This window comes from Homo sapiens, chromosome 20, assembly GCF_000001405.40.
Source record: "Homo sapiens chromosome 20, GRCh38.p14 Primary Assembly".
Classification (NCBI taxonomy): domain Eukaryota; kingdom Metazoa; phylum Chordata; class Mammalia; order Primates; family Hominidae; genus Homo; species Homo sapiens.
Genome location: NC_000020.11, coordinates 61,813,503 through 61,840,569, shown reverse-complemented (window position 1 = coordinate 61,840,569; position 27,067 = coordinate 61,813,503). Strand labels below are relative to the sequence as shown.

The following is a 27,067-nucleotide window of genomic DNA, read 5'->3' as shown; positions in this document are numbered from 1 at the left end:
GGTGAAAGGTTAGTTTAAAGTGATGTCTACATTAAAATAACTTACGGGACTCCGCGATAGTGTTCACCCAGGGACTTCTGCTTGGAAGGCCGGTTCTCCTCTCAGAAATGGCTGGATGACATGAAACGTTCTGGCAGAGTCTCCCCCAGGAGGATTTGCCAGGTTTCAAATGAACTTGAAACTGGAGAAAAGTCACCCTGTGTGGTTTTGAATCGCAGACACTTTGGAGGTGGATTCCCTAAGCTTTCAAGGGTGGAAGCCGGGGAGAGAGAGTTACACCCAGATTCTGGGGGAGGGAGAGACCCACCCACCGGGAAGGCCCCTGCACCAGGGCCTCCTGTCAGCCAGAGCTGTCCCAGTGCACGTGCACGGTCGGGAAGGTCTCTCTCAGTCAGCCCGCAGACGGACACAGACACTCTCAGAATTAGGGCTTCTCCCACGAGTGACACCCCCTTAAGTTGTTGTTGTACATCAGGATAAGCATTGCGGGGTAGAGCAAGGTCTGGGAGACCCCTTGGGGCACTGGGCAAGGAAGGCCTTGGAGAAAGTCAGGGTCAGAGTGAGTCAGTTTGGTCCTGACCACTGCCTCACACAGCTCTGGACACACACACACACCATGCACACAAATGCACATACAGACATGTACACATGACACACACACACACACAGTACACACATACACACACACCACACAAGCACACAATACACAAACACACATACACATACGCATACCTACACACAGACACACAACACACATGTGCACTCAATACACACACAGCACACATACATGTACACACACAACACATATACAACACACAAACATACATGTACACACAACACACACACTCAATACACAAACGCATAAACAAACACACAAATACACAATACACACAGACACCATACACATACACAAACATGTACACGACACAAACACAAACATGCACACAGTACACAAACACACAACATACACTCAATACACATACACACGTCACACACACATGCACATATGCACACACAACACACACAATACACATACACAAACACACATACACACAACACACACTAAATACACACATATACACAAACACACATACACATGCACAGTGCACACACAACACATACTCAATACACAAACACACACATCACACACACACGCACACATGCACACAACACAAATACACATACACACACAACACACATTCAATACACAAACATACACAAACACAAAATATGCATACGCACGAACACACACACACAGAACACAATACACACACACACTCCCCCATGCACACCCGGCGGGATATCCTTTCAGAATGGAAAGGGGCGGCCATTCTGCATTCATGGGCCTTGCCTGCCACTCATCAAGCCTCCCTTGGTTCCTGTCCCAGCATTTTAAAGACACTTTAAAAATCTCCTGGATCAAGTTCTTCCAGAAGGATGTAATTCTTCAGCGAGGTGTTTCAGCTTTCTCCTTCTATGATATTAAGCCCAGAGATGTTCCCAGGAAAACAGATCGCAGACCCTTGCCTTTGCAGCCTGTTGGGAGTTCTGAGCTGCCTGGAGCAGTTCCCCTCTCTCCATGGAGTAAAAGCTCTGGATGGTGCCAACAGGTGCCATGGCCGTCTTGCCCCATCCCGAAGGCACAGGACCCAGGCAGGCGGACTTGCACTTGGCCTGCTGAGACAGGCAATTTTCTTTTCTTTTTTTTTTCCTTTTCCTTTTCTTTCTTTCTTTTTTTTTTTTTTTTAGACAGGGTCTTGCTCTGTCACCCAGGCTGGAGTGCAGTGGTGTGATCTTGGTTCACTGCAACCTCCACTTCCTGGGTTCAAGTGATTCTCCTGCCTCAACCTCCCAAGTAGTTGGGACTAGGATAGTTGGGACTACAGGCGCTCCCCCCACCACACCCAGCTAATTTTTGTACTTTTAGGAGAGACGGGGTTTCACCATGTTGCCCGTCTTGAACTTCTCAACCTCAGGTGATCTGCCCACCTCAGCCTCCCAAAGTGCTGGGATTACAGGTGTGAGCCACCGTGCCTGGCCGAGAGAGGCAATTTTCTTTTAGGATCTGAGTCTCATGGGAGCCTTGAGGGAAGAAGGCAACTTGCCCATTTGCACCTGCAGCTTCTCCGTGGCCCCAACCAGTGCTCCTGCTTGAGCTTCTTGGTTTTCTTGCCAACAACATCAGAGTTTTCTCAGGGTTTCTGTCTGTTCCCCTGCCTGCATTGCACAGCCGAGGGCTCCCTACCTCCCCACCTCCTGCCTTCCCCTCCACACCCTTCTCTAGGCCCTGGGAACACACACGGGGCTGCCAGTCCCCAGGGATGGCCTGTTGGTAGGTAGGGCCCAACCGTTCCTGGACAAACAAGTGAAATGAGGAAGGCAGCCCAAGGGGCAGGGGAGACAGGCAGACAGGCAGACAGGCAGACAGGCAGGTAGACGGCCCCAGTCACCCAGCTGCGTAGGGAAACCCAAGGCTGTCCTGGCCCTAAGGAGGCCTCCTGGAGCAGAAAAGGCCACCCCGAGACCCAGAGGAAAAAACGGTGAGCAGGCAGAGAAAGGTGGGGATGGAGGTGAGGGCTTGGGGAGCGATCAGAGAGAATGTGGGAGCCTCTGCACGAGGGAAAATAAACAGGAAGGGAGGCCACAGGGAAGGGAGATGGGAGGGGAGGAAGGGAGATGTGGCCGACCCAGCAACCTGCAGTGGGCTGGCCTGGATGATACATGGGTTCCAGAGCATGAGGAGGAGGAGGAGAAGGAAGGCTCCTGGAGGCTGGGGCGGATTGTGGAGGGACAGACCCACGGGGGGGGTGCTCTGTTCTCCCCTCACAACGGCGTCGCTGGGGGCTTCCCAAGGCTGGTCCTCAGCCTGCTTCTCACTGTGTCTGTCCCTGGGAATCACAGTTCCCAGCCTTGTGTGTCCTCACCACAGCCTCAGAAGCCTCCTCATTCACCCTGAAGCAGGCACAGAAGAGGAGACCCAGAAACCTCTACCCTCCACGCCTGGAATTCCTTAAGGGACCATTGAAAAAAATCTCAGAGCGTCAGCCCCACCTGACCATCTCACAGAGCCCATTCTGAAGATGGAGGGACTGAGGCCCAGAGAAGCTGAGGGATGTGACGAAGGTTCACGAGTAAGTGATGACCCGGGCAGAGTTCCCAGCTCCTGTTTCCGCATCATACTGCTGGCCTAAGTAGCCTCTGAAAGCTGGAAGGGGTCAGAAGAGTTCCCTCCCTGCCATCCACAGGGTCTGAGTGTCTTCTCAGCGCCCCTGGATGCTCCACAGGAGACGAACATCCTGGCCCCTTCTCTCACTCCCACCAGCTCTACAAATGCAGCTTTGGGGGATGCAAGTGCTAAGTGAAACCCCGTTTTTTTTGAGACAGGGTCTTGCTCTGTCGCCCAGGCTGGAGTGCAGTGGCGCAATCACAACTCACGACAGCCTTCAACTCCTGGGCTGAAGTGATCCTCCCACCTCAGTCTCCTGAGTACCTGGGACCAGAGTGTGGACCACCACACCTGGCCAATTTTTAAATTTGTTGTAGAGATAGGGTTTCACTATGTTGGCCAGTCTGGTCTCAAACTCTTGGCCTCATGTGACCTTCCTGCCTCAGCCTCCCAAAGTGCTGGGATTATAGGCATGGGCCAGTGTGCCAGACCCCCTACCCCCACTTTTAAAAGTCTCTCTCCAAGGTCCTGGACTAGAACTTTACTTCAATGGAAAGTGATTATAAAATTGTAACCCCGTCCAGCGTGAGATTCTTCCAGGTTGATGCAAAGTGTAATTCCAAAGCCCTTGCCATGGTACTGGATAACCAGCAAGATTCGGCGACGTGAAACCTGTTCTCATAAAATTAATTGGACAAATGTGGGGCCAAGTAAGGGTTCTCACTTGTTTTCCCCCCAACTCTTCCTTGATTCTTGAACATTACTTAAGAGGTTTGAAGATGTTTGTATTTCTTGCATTTTCCGAAATACTTTTCATGCATGATGAAATTCAGCCTTCAATTACTTTCAATTAGGTTCTTGTAATGAGCAGAAAAGCCCGGGATGTGAAGTGAGAAGTCATTTGTTGTGTAACATTGACACCATCATACAGAACTGTTCACACATACTTTGAGTTTTAGCAATGACAAAAAGCCCCTCAAAGTCATATGAATGCTAATAAAAGGCATGAATATGTTCTCACAGATCTGCCCGGTGGGGAATAGTGAATTAGCTCCTTCTCAAAAATGCCCTTCAGTGTGCACCAAATTAACAGAGAGAGGCACCTCCTGAATTTTTGGCATGGGATTGCAGGAGACTCTCCCGGCTCTTCTGGAAACAAAGGCCAGTTCACTCCGGGGGCGTCATTGTTCTCCCATGGTAAGTGGTCCTGGGAATACAACCGACGTGCCTCACCCTCCCCGTAGCCGATGGGCAGGCCCAGGAGCTAAGCTGGGTCAATCAGCTTCTCTCACCAATGTGGACCTGGAGTCAAGAATGAGTCCAGTGTGGAAACACAGATGGAGCCCTTCCTTGCAATGCCAGAGCCCGGTCAAGACCCAGAGCCCTGGGATCACCCAACCGGCCGGCCTTCCCCTCCAGCCTGTGGGTAGTCAGGGTCCTTCTGGCAGGGTCCTTCCGCTCGGGACAGTCGGAGTTTGCAGGTGCAGCAAGCTGAAGCCTTTGCCTGACCTGGTGCTGTCTGGGGAGCCCTTAACACAGTGCCCGGCAGGACAGAGCTGACCAGAGGGCGACCTGACTGTGGCGCTCAGGGCTGGGCCTCAGCCACAGAGAGGCCCACCTGGACCTCTGGATCCCTGTGTCTTAGGTTGGGGTCCCTATAAACAGAGCCCAAGACAGGGATTCTCGTACAAGTTATTGACTAGGGAGAGCCCCTAGAACCAGCGGGAGGGACGAGTGATGTCTCAGCCTGGGTCATTTCAGCCTCACCCCACGGGAAGCCCTGGTGTATGAACTGAGCCTTGAGGCCAGGAGGCTGCCTCTGTGGGCCGACCCTCCTCCCAGGCACCTCCCAGCCCCACTCCGTCTTCTGGGAGGTGTCCAGCTGTGAATCATTAGCAAAGAAGCCGACCTCATGATGGCAGGGGCTGGGTGGCTGGCTCCCAGGGGACCTGGCTACACTAGCAGTGCCTACCACACCCAGTGGAATTGTCATCCTAGCCCTTGTCATGGCCAGCTATTTTTTTTATTATTAAGAACACTGGCCAGCACGGTGGCTCATACCTGTAATCCCTGCACTTTAGGAGGCTGAGGCAGGAAGACTGCTTGAGGCCAGGAGTTCAAGACCAGCCTGGGCAACATACCCTGTCTTTAAAGAAAATAAAAAACAAATAAAAAACAACAACAACTTAGTTGGACATGGTGGCACATGCCTGTAGACCCAGATGCTCAGGGGGCTGAGGCGGGAGGATCACTTGAGGCCAGGAGTTCAAGACCAGCCTGGGCAGCACAGTGAGCCCACATCTCTCTAAAACAAAACAAAACAAGACAAAAAATGAACTCTGTATTCTTATTTTGTTGCCTGCATTCTTTCTGTCTCGCCCACTGGACTGTAAGCTTAGGAAGCCGGTCTGTGACGACACAGCACCAGCCTCCAGCGGTGTCTGGACAGCTGCTCAGAAGAGTGAGAGACTCTCTGAAAACTGTCTGGGGCAGATGTGAGGCGTCCAAGGAGCTCCTTGAACTTGATGGCTAACAAGAGCTGTCACTGCACAGAAGCCAGAGTGGAGGCAGCTTCTGCTTCTGACTCGGGCTAGGAATAATCCTGCCTATCAGAGAGCCACACAGCTAAAGCCAAGTCCAAAGCCGAGACGGGTTCTTTGTTGTTTCAGCCCGTGAGGCTGCGGGGATAGGCAGCGCCAAGTGTCAACCTGTAGCGCAGCGTGTTCGCCCTCAGAGGTGTCGCCCATGCCATCCCCTGATTAGTCCCTGTCATTTTCTGGCTCCAACATGAGAAGTCAGGAGTCTCGTCAGAAAACCTTCATTGATATTTAATGCACGCGTCCCCACCTGTCTCTGGAAGGTCTTGTCACACAGCGTCTACTTTCCTCTAACAGGACCTGTCTGCCCCTGTAAATGTGCCACACTGCTGGGGATACGGGAGCAGGGTCCTGTCCCTTGGGGGCCGGGCTGGAAGATGCAGGGAGCTTAGACCCTGCCTGGGCTGGAGCACAGGTGCAGGTGTAGTGGGAGCCCAAGGGGGCCAGTGTCCAGCAGAAAAGATGGAGGCCAGACCCCAGACCCCAGGCCCCAGATCCTAGGCCACAGGCCCCAGAAGGAGAGGCAGCTGAGTGAGGGGGGGCAAGGGGCAGCAAAGGAGGGCATTTAGGGGCAGCAAGGAAGCCATGAGGCTGGAGTCAGGCCCGAGAAGGAGGTTGCCGTCAGCCCTGGCTTTGCCTGCCGAGACCCACTTCTGCCAGTCTTTGGAAATCACCCCGGCCCACCCTTGCTCTGCATGGACTGTGTGGGGGAACCATCCCACCTGGCCCCAGGACAGCCATGGGACCCCACGTGGACCAATGAGAGTGCACCTCCCTGGGCACTGTGATTGGCTAGGAAGGACATGTGACCCACGCTGGGCCAATAGGAAGGAGACCTGCCAGAATGGATGTCTCCCACTCCTGCACCCTGTGCCTCCAGGCAGTGCTCCCATAGACGAAGAGGAGGGGGCGCCTCCTCACTGGCTCTTCACTTTGGGAAATGGTTTTATCTCCTCATCTGGAAATGGGATTTTTTAAATCCAGCCTGCAGAGCTGTTGCCAAGAGTATATGAAAGATGGTAACTGAGGATCTGCAGTGTCTGTAATTCGATGCTGATGGCCGAGTGCTGTGCTCAGTCACCATGGGGGCTGAGTACTGTGCTCAGTCAGTTATAAGGGCTGAGTACTGTGCTTGGTCAGTTATGAGGGCTCAGTACTGTGCTCAGTCAGTAATGAAGGCTGAGTACTCTTGCTTAGTAATGTGGGTTGAATACTGAGCTTTGTCAATAAATGAAGGCTGAATACTGATGTTTGTGAATAAATCTGGGCTTTTTGTGTTGTCAGTAATGAGGCCTGAGTACTATGCTATGTCACTAAATGTGGGCTGAATATTGGTTTAATCATTAATTTAATCAGTAATAATGCCGGAATACTATGTTTGCTGTCTCCCCCGGAGAGCTCTGCATACTAGTAGACACACAGAAAGTGCTCTGCAAACCAGAGTGGATGATTGAATGAAACAAGGGACAAGGGGCAATAAATATCTGTATATCCAGCCTGGAGGTCCCAGACCACAAGAATAAAATGATTTAATTTAGGTTTTTACTGCATGATGGCACTTTTAGGTCTCGTCCATTGGAAACGTCAGAAATCCCAATGTAACTGGCTCAAGCAAAAAGGCAATGTGCTGGCTCCTATCCTGGAGTGGTGTGGGTTTCAGGCATGGCTGGATCATGCGGGCTGAGTACTGTGTTCACTCACTCATGGGGGCTGAGTACCGTGCTCAGTCCATTATGAGGGTGACCATTCTGACGGGGCTCTCAGCACTTGCTCAGCCCACCCCTCAGACTCGCAGGTACTCTCTCCCCTTCTGCTGCCTCACACTTCTGTGCTTACATCCCATCAGCCTAGCAGCCCCAGGGGTAACAGCAATAGGCTGACATTACAATTTTGACAGTACTAGTAATAGCATCAGTGTCAGGGGCACAGAAATAAGAGGTCGTAGAACCAGTGATGATGGTAATGACAACGGATGCTTCCCTAACTAGTTTGCAGTGCCAGGCAGTACCCCAGGTGGTATGGTTAGACTTTGTGTCCCCACCCGAATCTCATCTTGAATTGTAATACCCAGGTGTTGAGAGGGAGACCTGGTGGGAGATGAATGGATCATGGGGGCAGTTCCCCCATGCAGTTCTCATGAGAGTGAGTGAGTCTCACGAGATCTGATGGTTTCATAAGTGTCTGGCGTGTCCCCTGCTCGCACTTCTCTCTCCTGCCTCCATGTGAAGAAGGTCCTTGCTTCCCCTTCGCCTTCTGCCCTGATTGTCAGTTTCTTGAGGCTTCCCAAGCCCTGTGGAACTGTGAGTCAATTAAACCTGTTTCCTTTGTAAACTATCCAGTCTTGGATAGTATCTTTACAGCAGTGTGAAAATGAACTAGTACACTAGTCACATTACATCCATCCACTCACTTACTCATCACCACAACCCAAGGCAGTGCCGTTAATACAGACAAGGCCATTCATATGCAGCCCTTCCCTGTTACAGATGAGGAAACTGCAGCACAGGGAGGTTGAGTCACTCACCCAAGATCACACAGCTCACAAGCCCTTGAGCTGGGATCCAGAACCCAGGTGTCCTGGCCCCAGTGCCCCTGCTCTGACCCACCAGCTCCCTGCCTCAGTAGGGAAGGTGGCTGTTTCCAGACAGCTCCGTCAAATGTCCTGGGGCAGACACTCATTGGCTCTTACCCCAGCCTTGAAGCAGCTGCCATGGCTGGAGGTTGGAATGGGTACATCTACCAGGCCTGGGTTGGCAGCAGCATCCACCCAACTTGCAGGATGAGTGGGCAAGGTGGTCTCCTGGTCAAAGGAGATGGAAGGAGGAAGTGGATGCAGGCAGGCTCCAGCCGCTCCTGCCCAGGCCCGAGGCTTCCAGCCAGTCCTACCTGTCGGGTGCCTGTGCCACATCTCATAGCCTTCTGGAAGCCATGAGCCTCTCGGCCTCTGTGGGAATGAAGGCAAATGCTGGAGAGGCTGGAGGATTCAGAATTGTGCACACCACGTGCCAGTGACACCTTCTCCCCTTAACGCTGGGAATCCCACTGCAGGGGTGGTATGTTGCGGAGAAATCCCTGTCCCCCCACCCCGCCCAGGAGCCTGGAGGGACCACATGAGGGTGTGCAGGGTGGGCCTGGGGTCCTGAGGGGGAGGAGGCTGCACTGTGGCCTGCCGGACATTTGCTTTGTTCGGCATCAAAGTTTGATGAGGACAGGGACCTGCTGCATGGTTCAGGTGAAGCATAAGACCAGAAGCTAGCGAAAAGCTGGTATTAATGGAAGGTCAGGGAGTAGCGCATTCGGGGTGTCAGGCCTGGCTGTGGCCAAGGGACTCACCCGTCCTGGAGGGGGTGCAGGCTCTACAGGTGCAGGGATTTGAGCACAGGCTCTGCTAACAGAGGCCTGGGGCTCTTCCCTCGAGACTTCACTGCTCGCTAAAATGGACAACTTTTTACAAAGAAATGGCTGCTTCTCAGTTGAAATTCAGCCTGGAAGTGGGCCAGGTCTTTGCTGGTCACCACGAGGACCCATCACCATGATTTATCCTTTTAATTGAAATTTCACTTTTATTTATCCTCAAGTGCAGGGCATGTTCCCAGTGCCAGATGTGGTCAGGGCAGCCACAGGAAGGAAGCTTTGGCCGCCTGGTCTACCAGGGACATAACGCCAGTGTGAGGCTGGTGAGGAGGCTGAGAAGATCGATTTCAAGCAAACTCCATTCACAAAAGCTCCCCCAAGAGTTGAGGGTAGCCAGTGCCTCCAGGAGGGGCGAGACCCCGGCCCTCTTTCCCAGAGTTCTTCCCTTTCCCTGCCCTCGAGGCCTTCAGAGCTCAGCTTCAAACCCCACTCCAGGAGCCCTCCCGACTGACATTTCAATTTCCTAACTGCAGCAGCGGGTTCCTGCACCATCAACAAACAGGGCATCAGGAGAGAGGAGCGGAGGTGGGCAGTTGGCAAGCTCCTGCAGCTCCGAGACTCAGCACGTGCGACCAAGAGCAAGATGTGTAGAGGCAAGAAAGGGCGCCCAGAAGCGGAAGTAAATGACCGCGGAGTGAAGCCAGCGCCGCCCGCTCCTGCCGCTCTGCAGGGCCTGCCTGCGATGGATTCTGGCCTCGGGGGAAGAACTTAATGGGTGAGGAAGGGGGACCAAGTTCATTTCAGTGTCTCTCCGGAGCACACGCTAGGGCGTCTGTTGAGGTGGGCAAGCTCAGCATGGGGGAGGCCTGGGAGGCGGGGCCGCTGCAGATCTCCTGGGGTTCCTGTCAGCCCAGCCCCACCTCACCAGCAGCAGAAACGGGGCAACCTGGGCTGGCCAGGTCCTGGGGGGCCTTGGGAGGTGGTGGCCCTGGGCCGGATGGCAGAGGCCCCGGGAGGTGTGTGCTGCCCTCCTGGATGCAGGGGGACAGGTGGAGTGTGGCAGGCGGTAGAAGCCCAGGGAGGGTCCCGGGGAAGCACGCTTAGGGCCTGCTGTCTCTGAGGCAGAGGATGTGGATGGACTTGAGTATGTTCCACGCAGGACGCTGAGCCCCAGGATGTGCCGTGCTGCGCAGGTGCAGGGATGTGGCCTCTGACAAGAGAGGACTCGCCTGCTCCCTCGGAGCCTCTGTCTAGTGAGAACAGGAGGCATGCTCAATTTCACCTGGGGGCGGGGGGCTCCAAGGAGATGGATCTGGGTCACATGAACGGGTGTGGGGGTGGGGCATGGGGGTAGAACTGCGGGAGTGGGGTTGGGGGGCAGTCCCCATGAAGGTAGGGCTGTGGGGGACAGAAAAAAAATTTAGAGATCTGGGGCCTGCAAGGGTTTCCATAGCATGTAATGGGAGTTTGGGTCGGCTTGCCAAACACACCAAACCACCCACCTGCACTTCCCACACCTGCCTCCCAGCCCCAGGGCCGGCCGGGCAGGAGCCTCGTCCCTCCCACCCCAGCAGGCTAGGGGCGGGAGGGATGAGGGAAATGAGCTTTGCCCCTGGTCCAAGGGGACTGGGGTCTGGAGGAGGGCTGCACAGACTCCCTGGGGGCAGAGCCATCAGCCCCAAAGCTGGAGGCTGAGCAAGGGTCCCACAGTCACCCACCCGTCTGCAGCCCACGGGCGTCGGCACAGAGGGAGCCTCCTGGGGGCTCCTGGAGTCCAAGTCCGTCCCCAGTGGTGAGTCCGTATTTAATGCTTGGCAGAGGAGCCCCCACTCGCCAGGGCTTCCTCAACAGGAGGCCCGCAGAGCCGCCGTGGAAAACAGGCTCGTGGCCTCCAGAAAGGCGAGCAGAGCTGCTGCATGCGTGACCCAGCAATCCCACTGCTGGGCAGACACCCTAAGAATCAACATCTGTCCACAGAAAGCCTTGCACACAGACGTGCCCGGCAGCACACTGACAACAGCCCCAAAGTGCAACCGCCAAGTGTCTGTCAGCTGCTGAGTGGCTAAACGTGGTCCACCCACACAGTGAAATGTTATTTGGCCCTGAAAGGAACTAGGTTCTGATACGAGCTGCAGCATGGCTGAACCTTGAAAACATTATGCTCAGCGAAAGAAGCCGGACACAAACCCCACATAATACCTCCTTCCATTGACACAAAGTATGCAGGACAGGCAAATCCATAGAGACAGGAAGTACGTTATTGGCTGCTGGGGGCGAGGCCAGGGAAGGAGAAGCGACTGCTTAAAGCAGGGTCCCCAACCCGGTACCGGTCTGTGGCCTGTTAGGAACTGGGCCGCACAGCTGGAGGTGAGTGGTGGCCGGGCGAGCATGACTGCCAGAGCCTCCAGTGCTCCGCCTCCCATGATGTCAGTGGTGGCATTAGACTCTCACAGGAGTGTGGACCCTGTTGTGACCTGCGCATGTGGATGGAGGCTGCACGCTCCTTGTGAGAATCTAATGCCTGATGATCTGAGCTGGAACAGCTTCATCCCGGAAGCATCCTCCTTCCCTGGGTCCATGGGAAAATTGTCTTCCAGGAAACCAGTCTCTGGTGCCAAAAAGGTTAGGGACTGCTTATCTTATCTTTACAAGCATACGCTGAGGCAGGTAAAATAATCATGCCTAGCTTATAAGTGAGGAAGCAGAGGCACAGAGAGGCTCAGTGTCTGAGCCAAGGCCACACAGAAGTGAAGTGCAGAGACTGGGAGCTGAGCCAAGCCTGCAGGACTCCCACAGGGAGGCCATCAGCAAAGGGAAGGAAGAGCCTTGGGAAGCAGTCCATTTCCTCAGGACCCTCCCCTCAGGACCTCTGAGCAAGAAGTCGATTCCGAAGGTGGGGCACACACTGCCACCAGCTGATTGTGCTCTTAGATCCCCTTGAATTTAGAGGTTCCTCCCTCTCTTTCTATCTTCTTGTGGTTCATGTGTTGAGGAAACCAGATCGTTGGTCCTACAGTTTCCCCAGGACTGGATTTTGCTGGCTTCTCCCTATGGTGAGATTTAATCTGTCTCCCTCTCTTTTGTATCCTACACATGGTGGTAAGATCCAGAGGCCAGGTCAGGATCATGTGTAATGGGGGGAGGCAAATACTTCACAGGTGGCGGGTGGTGGGTGCTTTCGTTAGATGCGGGTAATGTCTGTTTTCTCTCTTTTTCTTGGTCTCTCTCGTTGCCACTGTCTCTCTTTTATTTATCAATTTTTTGGGAGGTTAGCAGCCACTAATGATCATTGTCTAGACCCATTATTTCATTAAAGATCACAAAATAGAAATATTTCATCACCTCTACCTCATTTATCAGGTGGAAAACTTTATGAGGTGCAACTTCCCGTCATATTACCTTGAGGCAGTGGGCATATAGAAATGTCAGGAAAATGCTTAGTTCTTTTGCTTTATTTTCCTGTTTTCAAAATAATGAGTTGGTTACTTAGCTTCCTCAAGGGTGACCCGTGAGATTTATTTATTTGTAAAGAATCCTGAAGAATCTAACCTACTAGATCTATTTCCATCTGTTGCAATTGCTACACTGAGAAACTGTTCCATTTTGACCAGTGGGAGCATCTTCAAGTTGACCTGGGTGTCCTGTTGGTGTGACCCTGTCGTCTCTGAGTGTTCATTTGCCTGCTGGTGTGACAAAGTGTTTTGGTCTCATCTTGTACATTTCCTACCTAGAATTAAATTTTCTCTAAGAAGCACTGATTCCTCTTGGTAGGAAACGGTCTTTAGAGGCCATAGCCTAGGGGCTTGGGTGTTCAGTGCTATTGGGCTGGTCTTTTATTTCTCTATAATGGATAGAGCTAGGAAATACATTTTTTAAAAAAGTTGTCATATATCAGGAGTTCACATTAATACCTAAAACCAAATTGAGGACTACAAGGTAGTAGAAATCATTGATTTCACATCTGTGTCTCCTTTCTCCCATACCAATAATCCTGGTCCTCAATACTTATTCATTTGCTTTATTCCATAGGACACAAACAACAGTCTCAAAATAGCAATACCAATAAATCCCAAACAACATGGTTACTGAAAGTAGTTATGATTTTTCTTTTTGGTCTTGGACTATATCCCACCAGGAATATGTAAGTAAAATTATCACGTCTTAAAGTCACTTAAAATAATTAAAATAATTCCCACCGGTGTAGCAATGTCACCAACTTGATAGACGGACGCGTTGATTCCCTTTTGCTTTTGATTTTCAGGGCTTGCTTTGTTAATGTATTGTAAAAGATAACTTTGTAAAAATCTTTCAAAGTCAAATCCACCGAGGTCTATTCTGAGACGTTCAGCTTCTATTTCTATCCCCTCTATCCTGGCCTCTTCCTTCCCCACATTTGTTCATTTTTTATTTATTGTATCTTTTTTTACAATAAGGAAACACATACACACACACACACACACACACACACACACACACACACACACACACACTTTTCCCTTCTTAAATGGTAATAGCTATGCACATTTTCCTCTACCTTGCTTTTTTAACTTACTGGTCCCGGATCATGGTTTTGTCTTCAGACCTCTCTGTGGACTGCAGAACCTCTGCACTGGATGGGCCAAGAGCAGAGGTGAGGAGACAGGTAGGAGGCCATGAGGCCACCAGGTGAGCAAGGTGGGCAGCCTGGTGAGTGAATGCTATCCTAGGCCATCAACGGGTCTCGAAGGACCCAGCACACCCTAATGCATGCAGTAGGTGTGAAATAGCGACTTACTTAATTCACCCGAGAACAAACATTTGTGGAGGTCTTTGCTGAAAATGTTTCCTTCTCTGGAATACTGACCAGCTTACATAAAATCTCCACCTGTGTTATTCTTGAAACCACCCCCACCCCCATCACCGCCCTAGCTTAGCACAGGGGCTGGTGCATGTTCTCCTTAGCACAGGGGCTGGTGGTGCTGTTCTCATAGACATGGTTTTCCATAAGGGCATCAGCAAGGCCTTCTCTGACAGGGTGGCCCTGGAGCAGAGGCCTGGATGGAGTAAGGAGACAAGCCACGTGGGTGTTGAGGCAAGAGCATTCCAGCCAGAAAAGACCAAGAGTGCTTGGGAAGGCAGAGGCGCTGGGCCGGGAGCTTAGCTGGCATGGCCGAGGGCAGTAAGGAGGCCAGGATGGCAGATGTGGAGCAAGCAAGGAGAAAGTTCATAGGAAATGGGAGTAGGTTATGCCCAAGAGGCCCAGGGAGACCTCACAGGGACTCTGACTTCCACCCCCACGAGAAGGGATGACACCATCTGGGAGTTCTGAGCAGAAGGGGACACTACTGACGTGCATTCTAGAGGGACCCCTTGGGCTTGCTGCATGGCTTGCAGGAAGAGTCAAGGGCAGAAGCAGGGAGGACCGTGAGGAGGCTGCGGCAATAACATAGGATGGTGGCTGGGGTCAGAGCACGCTGTGGCAGTGGGAGAGGCGGCCTATTCTAGATCTGTTCGGAAGGTACAGTTGACAAAATCTGGAGACAAATCGGATGTGAGATGTGGGCGAAGAGAGGCATCAAGCAGAGCTCCAAGGTCCTGAGTAGAGCAGCAGGAGGGCAGAGCTGCCATTAACTTTGGGGAAGCCCATGGGGAGTGTGAGATGGTGTTGGAGGGAAGTCAGGTGTTCGGTTGGACATGAAAAGTTTGAGAATCAAGTAGGCAGCTGACCATGTAACAGCAATGCCTTGGAGCATGGCAGGTGGGAGACAGCTCTGGGCCTAGACCAGATGAGTTCAAATTCTGCTTCCATTTTCTGCCTTGTAATCTTGGGCAAGTCACTTAACTTCCTCTTTGCCTCAGTTTCCCCTCTGGTAAATCAGAGATAAATACAGTCTCGCCTTCCAAAGTTTGGGTGAGTATTAACTGAGATCTTTATACGAGGCACTGAGAACAGTGCCTTGTCCTTCGTCAGGGCTCAGTAACATTCTTAGGAGTGAGCTTGGTGTTGGGGCAAGAGCTAGAGACTAGGTCTATCAGTCTATTTTGGTGTTATTATAGTTTTTGTTTATTTTTGAGACAGAGTCCTACTCTGTTGCCCAGGCTGGAGTGCACTGTCATGATTTTAGCTTGCTACACCTCCCAGGTTCAAGCAATTCTCGTGCCTCAGCTTCCTAAGCAGCTGGAACTACAGGCGTACACCACCATGCGGGGCTAATTTTTTGTATTTTTTAGTAGAGATGGGGTTTCACCATTTTGCCCAGCTGGTCTCGAACTCCTGGCCTCAACTGATCCACCCACCTTGGCCTCCTAAGGTGCTGGGATTACAGACATGAGCCAGCGTGTCTGGCCTATAAAGATAGTTTTTAAAGTCGTGGGGTGAAGGAATGAAGGAGGGATGAAAGGAAAAAAAAATCACCAACTTACAAACTATGTAGAGTGAGAAAAATCAACCCATGCCATAAACCCAGTTATAGCTGTTGTTATGGGATAACGAAAGTGGCCGTGGGGTCCCAGGAAAGGAGTGAGGTTTGGAAAGACGATCTGACTTTTCAACACCATCCTTGAAGAAACCTCATGCTTCAGCTGTCAACACTCAGAAAATTTAAATTCACTTTGTGGTCTTAGGAGGAGGGTTAAGCCTGTTCTTACAAGGCACATGGCCCGGTATTATTATACAACTTAGTGTCTCCTTTACAGACTAAGCGGATAAAAGGCTGCAGATGAAAAGGCCTTCACAGGAAAGGATTTCCCCCCTCTTCTAGATATCACTACAACTGGATTAAATGTGACCTGGATCTCTTGTTTGGTACTGGCTTACTATTTCTTATCAAGACTACTTTTCTACCAAGTGTTCATGCTGGTTAATTCCAAATAAGTTAATGATGTCAATATTAGAAATATGAACATATGCGTACACAGAATCTTCTAACAGGGCAGACGGCTCAGCATAGGGAAAAAAGGATGGGAATTTCACCTCCTTAGGTGAGACCTGTGACCCTGTAATGACACTTCCCAGGAGTCTCTCTGCTTTAATTCTCGCCTGCCTCTCCACCATCATTGATCCATTTAATTCATGTCGCTGGGGTTGGGGGGAGGCATCTTTTTTTTTTTTTTGTATTTTTATCCATCTTTTTAAGAGTCAAGAGCCAACACTCATCTCAAGCCATACCAGTTATCCATGAATCCAGCTACCCACCAGACACCTGTAGTTGACAAGGTGGCAATGGGGATGGCTTCTAAGGACAGTGTACTTGACAATGGAGACAATGGGAATGGCTTCTGAGGACAGTGTAGGAGGGGATGAGGCTATGCTCCAATAGAAAGTGGGCACGAAGCACCATGACCCTCAAGCTGTGGTGGACAATGAGGAGGTTTTCCAGGGAGCCTGTTGCTCTAGACATCTGGTAGAAAACAGTAATGTAAAAAGAAAATAGGCTGACGTGTTTAACAGTGGCAAACAAAATAATGGTCCTTAGTGACTTTGCTTTCTCCAACAGTTCCTTACCTATCCAAAAGACATTGTCTCTTCAATCTCAATAAAACATGCCTTTTACACATAAAGAAAGCCGCCCCACTACATGGTTTTACTACATAGTATTTATTGATAGAGTCATCCTTTGGCATAAAATTTACTTAGCAGAGAATAGCATGTGTTATTTTCTAAATAATGTACATGAACTGGCAACAGAAATGTTCTACACACATATATTCTTGTGCTACCAAAGACTTCAGTGGACACCAAGAGATTTAGCAATTCAGTTGGGTTCAAAATATACAAATTCACGGTGAAGATACCATGTCAACAATCATAAGCATGGGTTTGGGATACAAAGAGCTCTGGGTTCAAGTCCTCATCCTGCCACATTTTAGTGTATCTTTGGACAAGTTTTGACCTTCTTAATTCTTGGTCTCCTCATCTATAAAGTGGGTATGACACCTACTGCATGAAAATTCTTGACAGGATTAAAACAAAGATGTTTGTAATTCAGATGACTCATAGGAAGTGCTCAAGACAAGGTGGCTGCAGCTTTCTCTTCCTCTACCACCATCATCACTATCACCTTCATCATCATCACATTATTATTCACCTTCATCACTGCCATCATCATCACTGTAATCACCACCAACGCCATCACCACTATCATCACCATCAACACCAACATCACTATCCATGATCATCACCATTACCATCAACACCATCATCACCACCATTACCATCAACACCATCGCCACTATCATCATCATCATCACCATCACCAACACCATTTAAACTGGCCAACTCTGGGTAAAGCAGACTGCCCTCAACAGTGTGAGTGGGCCTCATCCAATCAGTCAAAGGCCTGAATAGAAAGAAAAGGCCAGCCTTCCCCAAGCAAGAGAATTCTCCATCAGACAGTTTTGGGACCGGAACTGTGGCTGCAGATCTTAGGACTTACCAGCCTCCATGGTCGCCCTAGCTAACTCCTTAAATGGAATCTCCTTCTCCCTGCACCTGCATTCCCCAGTTCTGCTTCTCTGGAAGCCCTGGCCAGCACACCTGTGCTGGAGGTGACGGCAGTTGGGTTACCTGGGATCTTCGACCTGCTCCTCTGGCAATACTGTGTTCACAGATCACGGGAGGAAGGCATGCCCTGTTGTGGCCGGAGTCTGACCTGGGCTAGGCAGCCCTCGTCCATTAGGGAGAAGGATCAGATGGGCAGCTGGCCTTTTGATGAACTCAGTGCCCTTTGGTGGGCCATACCTGATGAAAATTGACCTTTTCCCGCCCCAAACTCAGTGAAGCCCAGAAGTACTTATGCAGATGCTCCATGGGGAAGCAGGGGCGTCGGGGGTGCCTCTAGATGTTCCCACTGACTGCTCCACCCTCAGATGACGCCATGGTGTCCCTCACCTGGCACCCTCCCCTCCCTGCCGTGTGGCTGTGTGCACAGAGGAGGCACCACGGAATACCTTGTAGATCGATAGCGAGGTCGCCGAACCACACCTTCGCTGCGGCTCTCTGCCTCAGACACCCTGGGAACTACAGGTGTATCTGCTACTTTTCCCCTGTTATCAGTTTTATTTTAGCACCATAATAAAAATTCTGATAATCTAAACACAGCAATAGCTCTGCTCTGTAAAAACGACTGTCTCCCACATTATTGCTCTCATCAGAGGTGCGATAATCATACTCACCCACAAGACAAGACGGTTATTATATTAAAATGAATAAATGACAAAGGTTTCCATTACACAAGCAATTTTTCTAGGCATCGAGATGTTTTTTATGCAGGACTCACGTAATGAACACATAATTCATCAGTACGTTAGAGCACAGGCCTTAGAAAGTCTGAAGGCAGAGTTACTGCAAATAAGTAAATCATTAATGAGATGAAGTTTAAAAATAAAAGCGCAGAGCCCCACCTTCCTCCTAAAGAAGGAAAAACAAAATCTAGTAACTATCCAAGCCAAAAATCACTTTCAGACCCATCACTCGCTGGGTGGAACGTTCTCCCCACTTGCTCATGAAGAGCCTGGGGAATCCTGTCTGCACCCCACACAAGGAGGCGGGGCAGAGCCTGCCCTGAAGGGCCCACCTGGCTGGAGAACCACAGGGTGTGTTACTCATTAATGTCTGGGTAACACTTATCTCCTGCCATCTCTCTCGGGTACATGGTACCCAGGCCATCCAGGTGCCTGGGAAATGGTTGTAAAATTGAGCTGGATTACAATTGTAGGATTTTTTCCTTTGCTTTTCCCAGGAGAGGAAAACCTTCCTGTAGATCCAAAGTAGACCCCCCCAAGGGTCTTTCAGGAAGCACAGGTGTAAGCCCAAAACCCGGGGAAGCAGTTTTGGCTGAGGTGACATCTCCTTAACTGCGTCCTCCTCACTTGCAGGACTGGACCTTTCTGCCTCCTGGAACATCAGGGAGCAGGGATCTGGGCTGGGGTGGGGGCTGCGTAGGGAGTGAGGGGACTGGAGCAGTGGGATCTGGGCTGGGGTGGAGGCTGCATAGGGAGAGGGGACTGGAGCAGTGGGATCTGGGCTGGGGTGGGGGCTGTGTAGGGAGTGAGAGGGGACTGGAGCAGTGGGATCTGGGCTGGGGTGGGGGCTGCGTAGGGAGTGAGAGGGGACTGGAGCAGTGGATCTGGGCTGGGGTGGGGGCTGTGTAGGGAGTGAGAGGGGACTGACTGGAGCAGTGCATCTGGTCTAGGGTGGGGGCTGTGTAGGGAGTGAGAGGACTGGAGCAGTGGGATCTGGGCTGGGGTGGGGGCTGCATGGGGAGTGAGGGGACTGGAGCAGTGGGATCTGGGCTGGGGTGGGGGCTGTGTAGGGAGTGAGAGGGGACTGGAGCAGTGGGATCTGGGAGGTGGAGGCTGGGTAGGGAGCGGGACAGTGGCATCTAGGGACCTGGGATCTTGGGGAGTGGGAGCTGGCAGGGGGTGAAAGCTTTGGGGCGGGGGGTAGCGGGAACTGCCCCGCAAATCCTAGAACTACAGGATATGCTGAGGCCCAGCACTGTACCTGGAGCCCAGGACACAACAGGATTTTAAGGATTTTTATTTCACTCCGCAAAGCCTGTCCTATTTCTACCTGCATGTCATATTTCCCCAGGTGGACAGAGGGTCCTGGGCCTGAAGGGGGCACAGCCTCCCTGCCTGGCTGCCTTGAGCTGATCCTGGGAAGGTTTGAAGGTCAGGGCAGAGGCAACTTGGCTTCAGAAAGCTGATGAGGGTCTTGGGAGGGGAAAGCTCCTGTATGCAGTAACCCAGGGGTTTCAAAGCAAAGCTGCCTCCAGGCCTTGAGGGGCTGCGAGGGCAAGAACACAAGAGGGATGGGGGGCGGCGATGCTGGCACTGCTGTGTGGGAGCCCCGTGGCCTGGCCACAACTTCCACCTGCCCCCTCCGCCTCAGCTCCCCTCTGCTCAGCGGGTGCAGTGGGACTGCTGTGAGGGTGACGTGAGGATCGGTGTGGACAGAGTGACCCTTGGGCAAATGGCTGCTGAGGAGCCTCCTTGGGTGACTTTGGTTTGACCAGAACAGGTTTTAAAAAATCTGAATGTGAAGGCCTTGAGGTGGGCAGGTGCCCGGAGGCCCGCAGCTGCGTGGCTGTCCCTCAGATCACCAGCCTGGCCTCAGTGGTATCTGCAGTGGCTGCATACGTCCCCCACGGACACAGGGCATTCTTATGCCAGGCAGCAGCCAGTGAGAGCCGCTGGTCGCTGTGTAGGTGGAAGGCGGTCTTGGGGATGCCAAGTTCTCATGCCAGGCAGCAGCCAGTGAGAGCCGCTGGTTGCTGTGTAGGTGGAAGGCGGTCTTGGGGATGCCAAGTGACCTGGGCCCTCTGGGCAAAACCGGTTTGGGAAGACAAGTGGAGAGGATAGGAAGCCACAGCGGGAGGCAGGACCCCCCGAGTCTGAAGCAAGGTGCAGCTGAGGGGATGGGAGAGTGCGGGAGGAGGAAGTGGCCAGACACGGTCCCCGGGAAAAGTCAGGAGGTGGCCACCCCTGGGCTTGGCTCAAGGCCTTTCACGGGCAGGTGTGCACACAGCTCAAGGTCGCGGGATCAGATCAGCAGCCCCGCACCCTGTGTCTCCTTGCCTGGTCTGGTACCTGAGGACCAGGCCTGCTGAACAATAACAGCTAAATAACCACCAGGCCCCCTAAATGAATATGCATTTCATCAGCACAACTAAAACAGCACCTTTAAAACGTCTTTCCTCCTCGAAGTTCACAAAGCTGGGAAGAAGGGTTTGTAATTATATGTGTATCACCAGCAGTCCCAGCCTGGCAGGGGGCTTAGAGCCTTCATATAAATTATACCAATCAGCAGCGGAGGGGAGAAAACCCACAAGGCTATCAAAAGTGATACTTTCTTATAACTGGTGTACACAAGTACTAAATCATGGCAAAACAGTGCTGGGGGTGCAGTGCTGTCATCATGAAGCGGGTGCTGGGCTGCAGCCCGGCCGCCTTTGTAAATGCATGTGATCATCTTAATGACGCATTTGGGGAGACGTGGAAAATCACAGTGTGGAGGGAGGCTGCAGAATGCGAATGCATGGAACGCTCCCGGGGCAGAGCGAGCGAATGCATGGAACGCTCCCGGGGCAGAGCGAGCGACGCGTGCTCATGCATCTGGAAGCCGAGCAGCATGTGCCAACATCCATGTGCTCTGGTTCTCTCTCTTTCTTAGAAGGGGGCAGTTTCTGGGCCAGCACCGGTTCAGCTGCCCTGCGGTGGCTTCTGATGCACTCTCGTGTCCACTTACCTTGGTCCCTACAGGGCCTGGCCGTGGGGCTGTCTGAGGGGGTCTATCTGGGAAGCGGAGGTGACATCCTTGCAGATACAAAGACCCCAGAGCTCAAGGATGGGGGAAAGGGCTGCAGCAGTGAGCCCAAAAGCCCATCTGGACAGGGTCCTCTGTCTGCTCAGGGCATGTGGGGCGCAGCCACATGGCTCCTGCCGTGCTGCCCACCTCAGAAAGTGCCAGCAGGTCTCCCGACAGTTCCAAGGGCTCACCCTAAGCAGCCCCTGCAGGCCAGGCTGGGACGCAGGATAAGCAGAGGTCCGAGAGAGCCCCCTGCTCTCTGTGCCATCAGTTAGGACGACATGCGTCACCTTCTGCTTGGACTGCCGGGTGGGGTGGCGCAGGGGGTGTGGATAAACAGAGGGCTGCCTGGAAAGCCCACCTGCTCCTTTCCGCCCACCATCCTGGAATCCCCAAGAGATCTGCTGGGGCCTGAAACACTCCTAGGCCCATACAAGACGCGGAGAGCAACTTCCCGCTTTTTTTTTTTTTTTAAATTTTTAGTTTTTTAAGAGACTTCGTTCTATTGCTCAGGTTGGAGTGCAGTGGGGCAATCATAGCTCACTGCAGCCTGGAACTCTGGGACTCAAGCAATCCTCCTGTCTCAGCCCCGCAAGCAGCTGAGACCACAGGCACACACCACCACCATGTCCAGCTAACTTTTACATTTTGTGTAGAGACAGGGCCTTGCTATGTTACCCAGGCTGGTCTGGAATTCCTGGCCTCAAGCCATCCTTCCACTTCAGCTCCCAAAGTGCCGGGATTACAGGATGGGCCACCACACCCAGCCAAGTTCCCACTTTTTGGAATTCTGACCTAGAGACCTGGAAGGCAGTTCTCACCAAGTAAAGCCCAGAATCAGGCCTGGATGGGTTGGGAGGACAGTGCAGAGAGGGCCTCCCCCACACCCCAGCAAGGGCATGCAGCCTCGAAGCCAAGCCCTCCTCACTGTCTGCGTGATGTGAGATAGTGTTGCTGAAATACAAAACATAAGAGGCGTAGTGGTGTGTACCTATAGTCCCAGCTACTTGGGAGGCTGAGGCAGGAGAATCGCTTGAACCCAGGAGGCAGAGGTTGCAGTGAGCCAAGATCGCACCATTGCACTCCAGCCTGGGTGACAGAGCGAGACTCCGTCTCAAAAAAAGAAAAGAAAAGAAAAAAAAAAAAGAAAGTGCAGGTGACAGGGCAGCTGCCCCAGGTGTGAGGCTGTTTTCATCTGAAACCCTGCAAGATCCAAATTCCTGGGTTACTGGAGGTCAAGAAGTCCCAACTGTGAGCTCAGCGTGTGTCCTGCTGCTGCTCAGAACCCTGGCTGGCTCCCTATGGCCTCCTGGGAGACAACCCAGGCATTCGCAGTGCGTTGGCCTCCACTCTCTAACCCAGTTCCTAATTCAAGCCCTTGCTCTCAGCAGCCTGGCCTCCTCCCTGCTGGTGGGAACGGACCTTGCTGACCCACTGTCCAGGCAGGCGGCACGTGTGGATGCCCCGGCATAGCTAGCCGTGGATTCAGAGATGAACGCGCAGACACCTGTGACCTCGGGGCACTCACTGTTCAGTGTGGAAGAAAGCACACGTGGGAAGGTGACAAAGTGCGCAGGACAGGCAGCCCAGGAGGAGCGCATACCCCACTGCACTCCAGCCTGAGCAATAGAACGAGGTCTCTTAAAAAAATAAAAATAAAAAAAAAAGCGAGAAGTTGCTTTCCGCGTCTTGTGTGGGCCTAGGAGTGTTTCAGGCCCCAGCAGATCCATTTGGGGGGTGGGGAAGCCTTCCCGGACCAACTGGGAACAAGGCAGAGCTCGGATCTGGGTAGGCTAAGCCCAGAGAGCAACCAGGCAGAGGCGGCAGCGTAGCAAGGCACAGAGGTGAGAGCTGGGTGCAGCCCGGGACCTAGCGGGGCTGGGCCCGGTGAGGGGCACTCACTCGGGGGCCCCTGCCTTGGGGTCCTGATCTTGCTCCTGCAAGAGCTCACATAAACATGTGATTTGGGGTTCAGACTCAGGTATCAGGGCTGCGCCCAAGGATGTAGGGGATAGAGGTATCAGCAGGTTTGGGAGAGGACCAGCGGTTGGCTGGTGAAACACAGTCAGACAAAGTGGGGGTCGCCATGTGCCCAGCCAAGGAGTGAACATTTCACTTTAACGGAAACAGATGCTCTTCCATGCGGCGGCCAAGCCTTTCCTGTAGGTGCAGGCCTGCTGTCTGGTGTTCTCTGGCACCTTTTACCCCAAGCCACTGCCATGATATCGAATTAACTTGCAGAAATGAGAATGGGTGGCACACACAGGGAACAAACATAAATGACCCCTGAGCGTCCCCACCGGGCAGGGGGATGGGGATGCGGGCGAGCTCAGGGCTGCCTGCTGATGGGAGTGTCCCAGGCCTGGGCCCAGCTCTGTGTCAGCAGCGGGTCATGCCCCACTGGTGTGGCAGGTGATGAATTGAGGCCTGTGAGGGTGTCTGCCCCCTTGGCAAACCCACAAACCGCCCCCCCCCATTTAACGTGCGATTCACCCAAGCGCCATCATCCCCTCCAATGCCCGCCTGCCTTAGGGTGGCTTCTGAGCCCTCCCCAGCCACTCACCCATGGCAGGAAACACATGGAGCGTATTTCGGCTCAAGCAGTTGTTTGAATAAGTCTCAGGGAGCAGAGAGAATGGGTTCTATCTGTGATAGTAGCTACTTTTTATAACTCCAGTTTGCACATATATAATAGCCTCAGTTATTATAAGAATTAACATCTCATAGGATAAAAGAAAATAAGTTTGGTGTTTAAGAAAGTGGAAAATAGAATTCTCCATCGCTTTTTTCCTAAGAATCTCAGCTGAACTCTGCTACCAGAATGGCCCCTTTTCTATTTAGAAAATCAGGGAGCGATTTGAGAAAACTCTTTAATCTTGCTGTGTGTTTTATCCTCTGTGAACATCACAGAGGGGAAATATTATTAGGCAAATGATGATGAAAGCAAAGACAATTGTTAAGTTTAGGTTTGGGAAGATGATGGTGGCACCTCCTGGAGATAACCTGCTTCTTCCCAAGGCTGCCACGGGACAGACTCCAGGTCACAAACCCAGGGCCCCCCAGCTGCCCTTCTGCGGGGTGCTTGCTCCTGGACTTCCTGGGAGCCGCTTGGGGAACCTCCTAGTTTGTTCTGAAATGCAGCTTCCCTGGGTTTATGCGACTTTAAGCTCCTTGGTGCCGAGGCCAAGTGAAATTGCTTCCTTAAACCTTCTTTTGTAAATTGAGAGAAGTGGAAGCTTTAACAAATGAACGCGGGCATTGCGGCTCACGGAGCAGCCAGGATAACCAAGGACAGATAAACACAGTCCTGGTTCCAAACCTGGGCAAGTGGGAGCTTTGCATTTCTGGCTGGGGCATATTTTGCATTTGATAATCTAGGATTAACAGTTTCAAAGATTTAAAATCAGAAAACCGGTGTTCCTTTGGTTTATTTTAATTCTGGCCTGGACCTCCCTCAGCCGGGCCTCCGGGCGTCGAAAGCACAATCTCTCAGCTTTCCAGGCTGCTTCTGTACCTTTGCTAAAACAGATGCCAACCAGGCGGGCTCTCTACTCTGAGGAGGTTTCATCAGGGGGTCTTCAGGCTCCTGCAATCCAGGGAGTTTCATTTCATGTGGTTTTACCTTCAGAGGCTCAGGACAGAGGCTGCGTCTTCCTCCTGTCTCCCGGAGCCTCCCTGGGCCGATGTGGTGGAGGGTGAAGTCCAGCTGAAGAGCTCTGATTGTTCTAGAAAACAGCGACGGGCGGCTTCCCCGCTCACCAGCATAGATGTTACTGGAGTTATCACAGAGGCCACTAAGCCTGGGCAAATCCTTCGTGGGCACAAAGCATCGTACACGAGACTCATGACAGGTAGCCCCACGCCCTCCACAGCAGCCACCCTGGGATGCTCTGTTATTGCTTTTCGTGGCTGGATGTGTCAGGCCTGTGATCGTGGCCTTGGGGTTAGACAGGACTTCGTACGTAGCTCAGCCACCACTAGCTTTTTCTGCCCCACCTCCCCCAGTCCTATCTCTTGCAATCCAGGGCAGAGACTGTGTGCTTAACATATTAAAGGGAACCCAAGTTAACTCAGGGTGCAGAATTTCCTAGCATCCTATTCAATGATTTCAGAGGTCCAGGGTTCCCGGAAAGCCAGGCAGGATAGGGAGAAATTCATTTTGAGGGGTGCCTCCCAACCTCAGCACCTATGCTTACACGGGCACTAGAACACCCTGGGCTTTGCAGAGCCGGGGAGCGGAGCGTGGGAGGAGCTCATGGAATTCATGCTGTGGAGACTGGGCCTCAGCACCTTGCAGGGATCAGAGAGGACTGACTTTCCCTGGGAGGCTTACTGCAAGGAAAGGTCGGCATCAACATGGTACCACGAATACCGTGAGCACTGCCTCGTTAGACTGTTTGCTCAATAGCAAGGAGGACATTCAGAAGCTACTCCATCAAGTGCTCATCGCCCCTGTGGAGAAGCATGACGAGATCAGGAATTTATGAAGATAGCAATTACAAACACTCCAGTATCTTAAGTATGTATTTAGTGGATCTATTCCTTTAACGGGGGTCCATTTCCACATCGCTGCAAAGCAGCTTAATTGCACACTGCAAATGTTGTCTCTGTACATGAGCTCTGCCTTCCATCTCTTGCACAAACAAGTTTTCTGCAAGTTATTTTGGGGGCTTCGAGCGTGGGTGTGAGGGGCTGGGTCTGCAGGGATCGTCGTCGAGCGGCCGCAGCCTCCCAGGTCAATGCTGCCAAGCTCCTGGGCAGATCTGCCAGCCTCGGCCCACAGTGAGGGACAGGTTTTCCAGGGCCCTTCAGGTGTCTCTGAAGGCCTGGGTTCCAATCCTGCCCCTACTTCCTAGCAGTGTGACCTGGGGCAAATTGCTTGCCTTTGTGCCTTGCTTTGGGAGGGTCACAGCGTGAGGTTCCTAAGAGAGTCCCTGGGGTGGCCTTAGGGGCATCAGGCCTCACTGCCTACAAAGTGGGCCTTTCCTGTCCCCGTTCCACAGATGGAGGACACACAGGTTACCATACTCAGCAGGAAGGTGGGGACCTGCTCCCCGTACTGAGCCCCTCCCCACGCTGCACATGGGCCCGGCACCTGGGGTGGGCTCCTCTGGCCTGGATGTGCCTGGAACAATTGGTCTGCATTCTCAGGAATGGGGATGGCCTGGGAGCCAGCCCTGCACCAGACACGTATGGACTCCTGCTACATATTGGGCTGGGGAGACCCTGGTGAGCAAGGTGGGCCAGGGCCTCAGCTGCTCCCAGGGGCACTGGAGACCACCCTCTGTGCAGGGTTTGTGCGGCAGGGGTAGGGCCGTTGGTAATCTATTATACTGGAGAGGGCTGGTGAGCCAAGGAGGCTATGGGATCCCTGGCAGTTGGGCATAGCTTCCTGGGAAGAGTCAAGCTTTGTCGAGGGAAAGGGAACAAGGTGAGAAAATAAAAATAAACAGAAATAAGCTGGAGCCCCGAAAGAGGCCCAGGCACCCAGTTCTTGCCCTTCCGACAGCCAGAGTCTGAGCCCCCATTACACAGCCCTGAGCCAGCAGAACGACCGCTCCCTCCCTGCCAGGCCCAGCCCCAGAAGCTGGGGATGCGATGCTTATACAGCATTTGGAATTACACATCTGGGTTTGAAGCCACTGCCTTCCAGCTGTGACA

At 52.4% G+C, this 27,067-nt stretch overlaps 1 protein-coding gene across 5 annotated transcripts in view, besides 1 other annotated feature; it reads right to left on the bottom strand.

Annotated features, from left to right (window-relative positions):
- The window catches only part of CDH4 (cadherin 4), a 688,357-nt gene that overhangs the window by 100,048 nt on the left and 561,242 nt on the right, over positions 1-27,067 (bottom strand). The gene's annotated exons all lie outside the window — the stretch shown is intronic.
- Positions 4,796-5,297: an enhancer, noted in NCBI's record as "H3K4me1 hESC enhancer chr20:60410329-60410830 (GRCh37/hg19 assembly coordinates)". NCBI's record gives its function as "activates a minimal SCP1, AML or CMV promoter by ChIP-STARR-seq in naive H9 embryonic stem cells {active_cell/tissue: H9 hESC(naive)}" and the evidence as "EXISTENCE:reporter gene assay evidence [ECO:0000049][PMID:30033119]".